At 46.2% G+C, this 12,281-nt stretch overlaps 1 protein-coding gene across 1 annotated transcript in view, besides 2 other annotated features; it reads left to right on the forward strand.

Moving 5' to 3' along the window:
* Positions 6,893-7,187: an enhancer, noted in NCBI's record as "tiled region #5956; HepG2 Activating DNase unmatched - State 1:Tss, and K562 Activating DNase unmatched - State 1:Tss". NCBI's record gives its function as "activates a minimal TATA promoter and a strong SV40 promoter by Sharpr-MPRA in HepG2 and K562 cells {active_cell/tissue: HepG2 | K562}" and the evidence as "EXISTENCE:reporter gene assay evidence [ECO:0000049][PMID:27701403]".
* Positions 6,953-7,132: a silencer, noted in NCBI's record as "silent region_16632". NCBI's record gives its function as "represses an Ori minimal core promoter by ATAC-STARR-seq in GM12878 lymphoblastoid cells {active_cell/tissue: GM12878}" and the evidence as "EXISTENCE:reporter gene assay evidence [ECO:0000049][PMID:35858748]".
* ATP6V0E1 (ATPase H+ transporting V0 subunit e1) overlaps positions 7,078-12,281 on the forward strand; it is a 51,675-nt gene continuing 46,471 nt past the window's right edge. The window contains exon 1 of the mRNA NM_003945.4: positions 7,078-7,271. Within this exon, the coding sequence (NP_003936.1) occupies positions 7,168-7,271 (104 nt within the window). The 5' untranslated portion in view covers positions 7,078-7,167. The remainder of the gene's footprint in view (positions 7,272-12,281) is intronic.

Genomic DNA, 12,281 nt, shown 5'->3' on the forward strand with positions numbered 1-12,281 from the left:
AAAAAAGAAATAGGAGAGGCAACATGGCTTAGTGGGAAGAACAGGAGCTACAAAGAGCCGTGTTCAGATCCAAGCTCTGTCACTGAAAACAGCTATGCTTTGGACAAGTTACAAATTACAAGTTACAAGCCTTTTAGGACTGGGTGCAGTGGCTCACACCTGTAATCCCAGCACTTTGGGAGGCCGAGGCAGGTGAATCACCTGATGTCAAGAGTTTGAGACCAACCTGGCCAACATGGTGAAACCCTGTCTCTACTAAAAATACAAAACTAGCCAGTTGTGGTGGCGGGCACCTGTAATCCCAGTTACTCAGGAGGCTGAGACAGGAGAATCGCTTGAACCCAGGAGGTGAAGCCTGCAGTGAGCCAAGATCGCGCCACTGCACTCCAACCTGGGTGAGACAGAGCAAGACTCTGTCTCAAAAATAAATAAATAAATAAATAAACCAAATCTAAGCCTTTTAAAATTATGTACAATAGATTTAAAAATACCTATATTCAGTGTCGTGAGCATTAAATGAGACAGATAATTCAAAGCACCTAGTCCAATGTCTGGCAGGTGGCAATCACTCCAGCAACGGTGGCAGCAGTAGTACTGGTGGCCATACACAGTGCACATTCCATATACACTACTGGGCTAAGGAGTAATAAATCCTGCTAGGGTTTTCAGCTGCCCCAGTAACTTCCAAGCTTCCAGAGTAGCTTGGAAAGGGGCTTTATGACACCATATCTTCGTGACTCTGCATGCCTGTTTTTACCTACAGGACTGAGTTTAGGAAAGAAGGGCTCCTCAGCTCGTTGCACAATAGTGTTTCAGTCAACTCTTGTTTCCTTGATGCTGCTGGGGGGCCTCTGAGGTTTTTCCTCTAGTGGTGCTTCTCAAACTTTTTGGTCTCAAGACCTGTTTACATATTTAAAAACTATGGAGGACCCAAGGGACTTACATTTATATAGGTTATAGCTATTGATATTTGTCATGTTAGAAATTAAAACTTCAAATTTTAACATATTAATTTTATTATATTATTATTATTATTATTTGAGACAAGATCTCAGTCTTCACCCAGGCTGTAGTGCAATGGTGCAATTATAGCTCACTGTAACCTTGAACTTGTGGGTTCAAGCAATCCTCCCTCTTCAGCCTCCTAAGTAGCTAGGACTACAGGAGATAACACCACATCAAAATTGTTTCTTGTAGAGATGGAGGTCTCACTATGTTGCCGAGGCTGCTCTGGAACTCCTGGCCTCAAGTGATCCTCCTGCTTTAGCCTCCCAAAGCACTGGGATTATAGGCGCGAGTCACTGCATCTGGCCAACATATTTATTTTAAATTCATACAAAAAGAGCAACAAGAAACCCATAACATGTTAACATAACATTTATATGAGAAATAGCTGTTTTTTCCAAAACTAACAAAACATGTGGTTGGAAGAGTAACATTGTGTTACATTTTGGGAGAACGCCTTGACCTCTGGTTTAATAGAAGACAAATGCATTCTCATAATACTACTGCATTCAATCTGATGTGATATGTTGTTTTAGATGAACTACAGGAAGAAAATTCAGCCTTACAGAGATTCACAGTTAGAAAAGACCTGCTGGGGTGGCCAGGCATGGTGGCTCATGCCTGTAATCCCAGCACTTTGGGAAGCCAAGGTGGGTGGATCACGAGGTTAGGAGTTTGAGACCAGCCTGGCCAAGATGGTAAAACCCCACCTCCACTACAAATACAAAAATTAGCTGGGAGCAGTGGCAGTCGCCTGTAATCCCAGTTACATGGGAGGCTGAGGCAGGAGAATTGCTTGAACCCAGGAAATGGAGGTTGCAATGAGCCGAGATCACGCCACTGCACTCTAGCCTGGGTGACAGAGTAAGACTCCATCTGAAAGAAAGAAAGAAAGAAAGAAAGAAAGAAAGAAAGAAAGAAAGAAAGAAAGAAAGAAAGAAAGAAAGAAAGGAAAGAAAGGAAAGAAAGGAAAGAAAAGAAAGAAAAGAAAGAAAAGAAAGAAAAGAAAGAAAAGAAAGAAAAGAAAGAAAAGAAAGAAAGAAAGAAAAAGACCTGCTTGGGGAGTCTCAGGGACTCCCCAAGGGTCCTTGGACCACACTGTCCAGAGTCTGATTTGTTTCCTGAAGACTTTAGCACCTTGAGGGCAGACAGTATCTCTTCATTTGATGGGTCACTGAATGGGGACAGTTTTCATTTGGTGTGTGATAAAATGCTTTTGACAGACTGGCTGATAGAGGGAGCTATAGGCTAATGCTAGCCCACATATATAATACTGAGATACTAACTTTTCTCCTTTCACAGATGAAACCAACAGATTTAGACAGAATTGGTGTCTAAAGAGTTACATCCAGCCGGGCGCGGTGGCTCACGCCTGTAATCCCAGCACTTTGGGAGGCCGAGGCGGGCGGATCACAAGGTCAGGAAATCGAGACCATCCTGGCTAACACGGTGAAACCCCGTCTCTACTAAAAATACAAAAAATTAGCCGGGCGTGGTGGTGGCTGCCTGTAGTCCCAGCTACTCGGGAGGCTGAGGCAGGAGAATGGCATGAACCCGGGAGGCAGAGGTTGCAGTGAGCCGAGATCACGCCACTGCACTCCAGCCTGGGAGACAGAGCGAGACTCCATCTCAAAAAACAACAACAACAACAACAGAGTTACATCCCTGGCCGGGTGCGGTGGCTGACCCCTGTAATCCCAGCACTTTGGGAAGCCGAGGCAGGTGGATCACCTGAGGTCAGGAGTTCGAGACCAGCCTGGCCAACATGGCAAAACCCCATCTCTACTAAAAAATAAAAATAAAAATAAAAATTAGCTGGGCATGTAGCACGTGCCTGTAATCCCAGCTACTCAGAAGGCTGAGGCAGAAGAATCACTTGAACTCAGGAGGCGGAGGTTGCAGTGAGCTGGGATCGTGCCATTGCACTCCAGCTTGGGCAACAAGAGCAAAACTCTGTCTCAAAAAAAAAGGAAAAAAAAAAAAAAGAGTTACATCCTTGTACTTCCAGACATTGCTTCTCAAAGAGGCTGCCCAGAAGATAAAGCAAAGGTTAGACACAAAAAGGGATCAATTTAAGACAAAAATTTCCACTTGTTTAAGAAATGGGAAAGAATTCACAATAGCCAAAAAGTGCAAGCAACCCAAATGTCCATCGATGGATGAATGGATAAACAAAACGTACTGTATACACACATGGAATATTATTCAGCCTTTAAAAGGAAGGGGACATTCTGACACTTGCACAACATGGATGAGTCTTGAGGATATTATGTTAAGTGAATAAGCCAGCCACAAAAGGACAAATGCCGTATGATTCCTCTTGAAGGAATCTAGAGTAGTCAAACTCACAGAGACAGAAAGTAGAATGGTGCTTGCCATGGGCTAGGGGGTGGAATATGGGAGGTGGTTGTTTTTTTGTTTGTTTGTTTTTTGAGACAGAGTCTTGCTTTATCACCAGGCTGGAGTGCAGTGGCGTGATCACAGCTTACTGCAGCCTTTACCTCCTGGGCTCAAGCAATCCTCCCACCTCACCCTCCGCAGCAGCTGGAACTACAGGCATGCACCATCATGCCCAGCTAATTTTTTGTTTAAATTTTTTGTAGAGATGGGGGTCTCACTACTGCACCTGGCCAGAAGTGGTTGTTGAAGGGATATGAAAAAGTTCTGGGCTGGGTGCAGTGGCTCACGCCTGTAATCCCAGCACTTTGGGATGCCAAGGCGGGCAAATCTCCTGAGGTCAGGAGTTTGAGACCAGCCTGGGCAACATGGTAAAACCCCGTCTCCAACTAAAAATACAAAAATTAGCTGGGTGTGGTGGTGCATGCTTGTAGTCCCAGCTACTTGGGAGGCTGAGGCAGGAGAATCGTTTGAACCCAGGAGGCGAAGGTTGCAGTGAGCCAAGACCACACCAACCTGGATGACAGCGAGACCCTGTCTCTAAATAAATTAATAAAAATAAATTAAAAGGTTAAGATAGTAACTTTTATGTTACCTGTATTTTACCATTTTTAAAAGGAAAGGGCCTGACTGCGGCAGCTCATACCTGTAATCCTAGCATTTTGGGAGGCCAAGGCAGGAGGATTCCTTGAGGCCGGAGTTCGAGACCAGCCTGGGCAACATGGTGAAACCCCATCTCTACACACACATACACACACACACACACACACACATACACAAGCACACACACGCACACACACAATTAGGCCAGCATAGTGGCATGCGCCTGTAGTCCTAGCTACTATGGAGGCCGAGGTGGGAAGATCCCTTGAGCCCAGGAGTTCAAGGCAGTAGTAAGCTATGATTGTACCACCATATGCCAGCCTGGGTGACAGAGCACGACTCTGCCTCAAAAAAAAGAAAGAAAGGGGCTGGGCATGGTGGCTCACTCCTATTATCCCAGCACTTTGGGAGGCCGAGGTGGGCGGATCACTTGAGGTCAGGAGTTTGAGACCAGCCTGGCCAACATGGTGAAACCCCATCTCTCCTAAAAATACAAAAAAAAAAAAATAGCCTGGTGTGGTGGAGGGCGCTGGTAAATCCCAGCTACTCAGGAGGCTGCAGCAGGAGAATCGCTTGAACCAGGGAGGTGGAGGTTGCAGCGAGCCATTGTCATGCTACTGCACTCCAGCCTGGGCAACAGAGTGAGATTCCATCAAAAAAAGAAAAAAGAAAGAAAGAAAGAGAGAGGAAGGAAGGAAGGAAGGAAGGAAGGAAGGAAGGAAGGAAGGAAGGAGAAAGTAGAAATGAACTTCTTTCTCTAATTTTGTTCTGACCTCATCCCTTCTTAGCTACTCAATTCAGTTGCACAGTTATTTATTGAGCACATTCTATGTATAAAGTCCTCCCGGAAACAAAGATCAGTGAAACAGTGCCTATTCTCAAGGAGTTGGCCCTCTAGTAGAGGGTTGGTCAAGATACATATACAACAAGGCCAAAGAGATGCGCTAACAGGATGAAATGGGTCTTGGAGAAGGCGGTGTTTGGGCTAGAACTTAAGGACCATAGGATTTCTGCTGGGGCTAAGTTTTGGGGAAGCATTATGAGCACAAAGGAGACAAACTAGTTTTCTACATTGCTGATCAGGTTAAAGGCTTAGAATCATGTCCGAAAAGTTGGTACAGATGTTGAAGATTATTGGTCCAGTTTCCCGTTTAATACAGGAATCCATTCTACTTGATGAAAGAAATCAGGAGTTAATGCAATGTGGCTACTGCAAGGAAACCATGGTCCCTGGTAAAGCACATTGCATTTAAAGACCTGCTTTCTATCTTGCTTTCACCTGTAAGCTTTATCATCAAGCTCCTCAACCTCTCTGAGAACTGGCTTCCTTGTCTATTCCAAGCTTGGCGCATACTATAACTAACATATGTGAAAATTCTCAGCAAGCGTTCTAAGCCCTGTTTATCAGCTCAGCACGGTGGCTTATGCCAGTAATCCCGGCACTTTGGGAGGCTGAGGTGGAGGATCCCTTCAGGCCAGGAGTTTAAGACCCACCGGGGCAACATAGCGAGGCTCTGTCTCTACAAAACATTTTAAAAATTAGCTGGTGTGGTGGTGCACACCTGTAGTCCCAGCTCCTCAGGAGGCTGAGGCAGAAGGATGGCTTGAGCCCGGGAGTTCCAGGCAGCAGTGAGCTATGGAGCACCACTGCACTCCAGCCTGGGTGACAGAGCAAGGCCCTGTCTCAAAAAACAAACAAACAAACAAAACTGTTTTACCTTTCTTTTTCTTTCTTTCTTTTTTTTTTTTTTTTTGAGGCAGAGTTTCACTCTGTCGCCAAGGCTGGAGTGCAGTGGTGCGATCTCAGCTCATTATAACCTCTGCCTCCCAGGGATTCAAGCGGTTCTTGTTCCTCAGCCTCCTGAGTGGCTGGGACTACAGGTGCATACCTGGCCAATTTTTGTATTTTTAGTAGAGATGGGATTTCACCATGTTGCCCAGGCTAGTCTTGAACTACTGACCTCAGGTGATCTGCCCGCCTCGGCCTCCCAAAGTGCTGGGATTACAGGTGTGAGCCACCATGCCTGGCCTGTTTTTCTTCTTACCATTCTGGCTAATTTCTACTTGTCTTTCAAGGCTCAGCAAGGACGAGTTGGGTAGAAAGCCTTGCAGGGTCGTCCACTTACTTTCACACTGCATTGAGTCGCCTGTTTGCAAGGTCATCTGCTCCCCAGAATGTGAACTCCCTCAGGGGTGCCTGATTGACTTCTGTAACTCCAGAGCCTGGCACAGCACACAAGATAAATAGTGGTGCGCTAGTTAAGAGCTCTGGCCTTGAAAATCAGATAATCAGGGGTTGAATCCTGGCCCTGCCACTTACTATGTGACTTTGGGCAAGATCCTTATCCTCTTCCCTGGGCCTCAGTTTCTTCAACTGCAAAGTGGGGATAATAATTACAATTACCTCATAGGCTGAAGTGAGGAGTTCAACACGGGCTCATGCACTTTTTTTTTTTTCTTTTGAGACAGAGTGTTGTTCTGTTGCCCAGGCTGGAGTGCAGTGGCGCAATCTCGGCTCACTGCAACCTCCACCTCCCGAGTTCAATTGATTCTCCTGCCTCAGCCTCCTGAGTAGCTGGGACCACAGGCGCGCACCACCACACCCAGCTAATTTTTGTATTTTTAGTAGAGACAGGGTTACACCATGTTGGCCAGGCTGGTCTCGAACTCCTGACCTCAAGTGATCCGCCTGCCTCAGCCTGCCAAAGTGCTGGGATTACAGGCGTGAGCCACCGCACCCGGCCTGGGGCTCATGAACTTAAAGATCATGGCCCAGTGCCAGGCACACGGGAATTCAGAATAGTAAGGGACAACTATTGTTAAGTTCTCTATGTCTGTTGCATAAGTAGATGAGGCTGTAGATAACTACACTCTTTGTCTAAAAGGGCCAAGTTCTCATCAGAACACTTTGCTGAGCCCCGGGTGACCGAATCCCTAGCTCTGGGGTGAGCGACATGCCTCCAAGGAGCTGCAGCCAGGAGACAGCCAGGCGAAGGCGGGGCTCTGCCTCTGGGCTCCCCGAGGGGCGGAGGCCGGCGCGCGGGTCACGTGGGGGCGCGGGAGGCGGGGCTTGCACACGCTGGTCACGCGGTCAGCTATTGACACTTCCTGGTGGGATCCGAGTGAGGCGACGGGGTAGGGGTTGGCGCTCAGGCGGCGACCATGGCGTATCACGGCCTCACTGTGCCTCTCATTGTGATGAGCGTGTTCTGGGGCTTCGTCGGCTTCTTGGTGCCTTGGTTCATCCCTAAGGGTCCTAACCGGGGGTAAGTGCGTGAGGCCCGCCTTGGGAGGAACGGGCGGTGAGGAGCTAGCAGGCCGGGGCGGGGAAAGGCACGACCCCCACACGGGTCAGAGAACGTTGCATGGGCGCCCCCCGCGCTGCAGAGTCAGGCCCCCGACCCGGCGGAACTCCTTGTGTTCCTTTTCGCAGCAGCTTCAGTGTCCTCCGGCCTGAGCGAGTGGAGGGTGACCTTTGGTGGACCCCCCTTGGAAACGAGTTTCAGGGGAATTTTTTCTCATCATAGTCCTGTGTGGGGAGGTGCAGTCGGAAATGAGCAGGCCGAATCTGGGAGAAACTGGGGTTTGTCCCTAGTCGACTGTCCCCCTTTAGCCCTGCCTTCCACCCACATGAGGCCTCGTTTGCCTGAACTTAAGGATCAAATAAATAAAACAGAAATTGGCTTCTCTGCCTCCCATGCTGTCGCGGTTGCGTACAGAACAAGCTCCTTCGACAACATTGAGCCCAGGCCTTGCATCTAGTGGGCGCCAGGAGGCGGTTGGGGCCTGATCTAAAGCGAGATTAATTACCAAAGAGCAGGAGGTATTGTTGAGAAACCCCTGCGTCATGCCTTTTGGAGGGCGCTCCGGCTCTTGTATGTGAGTGTAAGAAGTGCTTAGAATGATTGGCTAAGAAAGATTTTGTTTTTCCAGACTTCTTTGTTGGTTAGAGCTTTGTCTCTTTTGGAATTAAACTTTTTAACTGTAGTATAAAATAGAGGCTTAATCTTCAAAGGAGCCTTGGAACACCCTCTTCCTGGTTCCTCTTTTGCTTCTCAGTCATTTTTTTCTCAGTTCAAGATGATGAGAGGTGAAACTTCGACTGAAGTCAGTTTGTCAGAAACACCATCTCTTGCTTTATTCTTGAACCTAATTGGTGGCTTCATAGTGCCTGGTTTTCATAGTACCTTGTATGCACAGGAGGCACCCAATAAATACCTGTTGAGTGAATAGTTCTATTGTCTTTATTAAAAGAAAAAGATTTTTGGCCAGGTGCCGTGGCTCACGCCTGTAATCCCAGCACTTTGGGAGGCCAAGGCGGGCGGATCACGAGGTCAGGAGATCGAGACCATCCTGGCTAACACGGTGAAACCCGTCTCTACTAAAAACACAAAAAATTAGCCGGGCGTGGTGGCGGGCGCCTGTAATCCCAGCTACTCGGGAGGCTGAGGCAGGAGAATGGCGTGAACCCAGGAGGCAGAGCTTGCAGTGAGCCGAGATCGCGCCACTGCACTCCAGCCTGGGCGACAGAGCGAGACTCCGTCTCAAAAAAAAAAAAAAAAAAGAAAGAAAAAGATTTTTACTACTTCCCTAATATTTTGTGACCTGAACCCCTTTTGCTCCCTGGGATACATTTGCTTTATTAGTCTAAAATTATTTTTTTTTAAAAGATACATGGTAGATGAATTTTTATCATTTTTAAGTATCAAGTTCCTCCTCCCTGGTAACACCAGTTATATGGGGTCATCTCTCCTACCTATAGAGGTTGATGGACAGAGTCAGAATTCTGGCATTATTAAAGCAATTGTATTTACCAAAGTTAATTAGACTTGTTTTTCCTACTGGAGTTAGCGAACAACAAAGTGCTTCTTTGTTGTGTTTATATCTTCAACTGTTTCATTACCCTACTGTCTGCCTTTATGGCCTTTGTACTCAAAGAAGCATTTATTAATGTACTAATAGCACTGACAATTCCTTTCTTAAAGACCATTCTCTCCCCTTCCTTGGGATGTCATTGCCATTATCCAGGGTAATGAAACCCATCCTGTTTCCACTTAGCCCTAGAGAGTGTCATGATTCAGGTATTTGACCAGCTAGTGATATATAGACATGTGTCACTTAACAAAAGGACTATGTTTGAGAAATGTGTTAGTTGGGCTTTTGTGTGAACAAAGAGTTTACTTAAACAGATGGTACAGCCTACTACACACCTAGGCTATTTGGTAGAACCTGTTGCCTCTAGGTAGGCTACACACCTGTACAGCATGTTACTGTCCTTAAATACTGTATAGACAAATGTAACACAATGGTATTTGTGTATCTAAACATAGAAAAGGTACAGTAAAAATACATATCAAAGATTTAAAATGGTCCACCTGTGTAGGGCACTTACCATGAATGGAGCTTGCAGGACTGGAAATTGCTGTGAGTGAGTCAGTGACTGGTGAGTGAATGTGAAGAACCAGGACATTGCTGTATACCATGGTGGACTTTAGAAACACTGTATACTTAGGCTACATGAAATTTCTGAAAAAATATTTTTCTTTCTTCAAAAATAAATTAACCTTAGCTTCCTGTAACTTTTTTACTTAAACTTTTGAATTATTTTTAACTTTTTGACTCTTGTACTAACACTTGGCTTAAAACACAAGCAAGGCTGGGCACGGTGGCTCACACCCATAATATGCAGCACTTTGGGAAGCCGGACAAGAGGATTGCTTGAGACCAGCCTGGGCAACACAGCGAGACCTTATCTCTGAAAAAAATTTTTTTTAATTAGTTGGGTATGGTGGTGCACACCTGTGGTCCTAGCTACTGGGGAGGCTGAGTGAGGGGGATGGGAGTGTTTGAGACCAGGAGTTCCAGGATGCAGTAAGCTATGATCACACCACTGTACTCCAGCCTGGGCAACAGTGAGACCCTGTCTCTTCAAAAATGAAACAAGTCCAGTGTCAGAGTCTGGGGAAGAGGCTGCAGGCACCATGTCCATTTTCACAGATGGCAGGAAGAAGCCCCTGAAACAGCCCAAGAAGCAGGCCAAGGAGATGGATGGGGAAGATAAGGTTGGTTTTTTGTTGTTTTTGTTTGTTTGTTTGTTTGTTTGTTTTTGAGACAGAGTCTCACTCTGTCGCCAGGCTGGAGTGCAGTGGCGTGATACTGGCTCACTGCACCCTCCGCCTCCTGGGTTCAAGCAATTCTCCTGCCTCAGCCTCCCGAGTAGCTGGGGTTACAGGCGCGCACCACCATGCCCAGCTAATTTTTGTATTTTTAGTAGAGACGGGATTTCACCATGTTGGCCAGGATGGTCTCGATCTCTTGACCTCATGATCCGCCCATCTCAGCCTCCCAAAGTGCTAGAATTACAGGCATGAGCCACCACGCCCGGCTGGAAGATACATTTTTTAAACAAAAAGAGGAGCAGAAGAAACTGGAGGAGCTGAAAGTGAAGGCCATGGGGAAGGGGCCCCTGGTCATAGGTGGAATTAAGAAATCCGGCAAAAAATAAGCTGTTCCATGTGCCTGAGGTGATCGATGGTGACCCTTGATTCCATTTGTATTTAAACATCTGGATTCCCTGCTATAACTTTTTTTTTTTTTTTCTTTGAGATGGACTCTCACTCTTTTGTCCAGGCTGGAGTGCAGTGGTGCCATCTTGGCTCACTGCAACCTCCACCTGCTGGATTCAAGCAATTCTCCTGCCTCAGCCCCCTGAGTAGTTGGGATTACAGGTGCCCACCACCATGCCTGGCTAATTTTTGTATTTTCAGTAGAGAAGGGGTTTCACCATGTTGGACAGGCTGGTCTTGAACTCCTGACCTCAGGTGATCCGTCCGCCTCGGCCTCCCAAAGTGCTGAGATTACAGGTGTGAGCTGCCACACCCGGCCCCCTGCTATAACATCTTTTGCCACCTATACTTAGAATGAAGTGTTGTCTTGGAGCCTGTTGTACATTGTACATGTAAGAGTAAACTTTTGAAAACAAATCAAAACACACACAGACACATTGTACAGCTATATAATTTTTTTTTTTTAAGAGTCAGAGAGTCTCACTGTCACCCAGGCTGGAGTGCAGTGGCTCCATCATAGCTCACTGCAGCCTTGAACTCCAAGGCTCAAGGGATCCGTCCACCTCAGCCTCTGCACTAGCTAGGACATAGGCGTGCACCACTACACCCAGCTAATTCGTTGTTGTTGTTTTGAGACAGGGTCTCTCTTTGTTGCCCAGGCTGGTCTCCAACTCTTGACCTCAAGCAGTCCTCCCACCTTGGCCTCCCAAAGTGCTAGAATTACAGGCATAAGCCACCTCGGACCTAATCTATTTTCTTTCTTTATATCCTATCCTATAAGTTTTTTTCCATTTAAATTTTTTTTAACTTTTTAAACTTTTTTTTGTTAAAAACTAAAACACAAACATATTATTCTAGGCCCACACAGGTTCAGGATCATCAAGATGTCATTAGGTGATAGGAATGTTTCAGCTCCATTATAATCTTAGGGGACCACCTGTCATTTATGCATTCATTCATTGACTGAAAGGTCATTATGTGGCAATTGTCAAGTGCCTGTATTATCTGGGTCCAGTTCACAGCCTCTGCTGCAGTCCTTGCTTTTCCTGCTCTTGGTTGGATTGAGCAGTGTCTCTCCTAGGAAGAGTTGCTATAATACATTTTGAGAAACACTGCACCTAGGCAGATGATCCCTGTGACCTTGACGATTTAGTTAACTTTTCCATGTTCCCATTTCCTCATTTTAAAATGGAAATAGGCTTTTCTGTAGGGATTTTTTTAAAAAGGAAATACTAGTGCACAATTTAATTAACTTTTCCATGTTCCCATTTCCTCTTTTTAAAATGGAAATAGGCTTTTCTGTGGGGATTTTAAAAAAAGGAAACATTAAAGCCGAATTAGTACTAGTTCCCCTTTACCTCTTGAAAATACTGCAAATCAAATTTTTCAGGATACGTGAAGGAGCTGAAGTGCTTCACACTATGGTGAGTTGGGGTTTTTTTTTGAGACAGTCTTCCTCTGTTGCCCAGTCTGGAGTGTGGTGGCACAATCTCGGCTCACTGAAACCTCCACCTCCCAGGTTCAAGCGCTTCTCGTGCCTCAACCTCCCGAGTATCTCGGACTACAGGCGCACGTCACCATGCTTGACTAATTTTTGTATTTTTAGTAGAGGCAGGGTTTCACCATGTTGGCCAGGCTGTTACCAGACTTTTGGCCTCAAGTGATCCTCTCGCCTCGGCCTCCCAATGTGTTGGGATAACAGGCTCGAGC

The sequence above is a fragment of the Homo sapiens genome, chromosome 5, assembly GCF_000001405.40.
Source record: "Homo sapiens chromosome 5, GRCh38.p14 Primary Assembly".
NCBI lineage: Eukaryota > Metazoa > Chordata > Mammalia > Primates > Hominidae > Homo > Homo sapiens.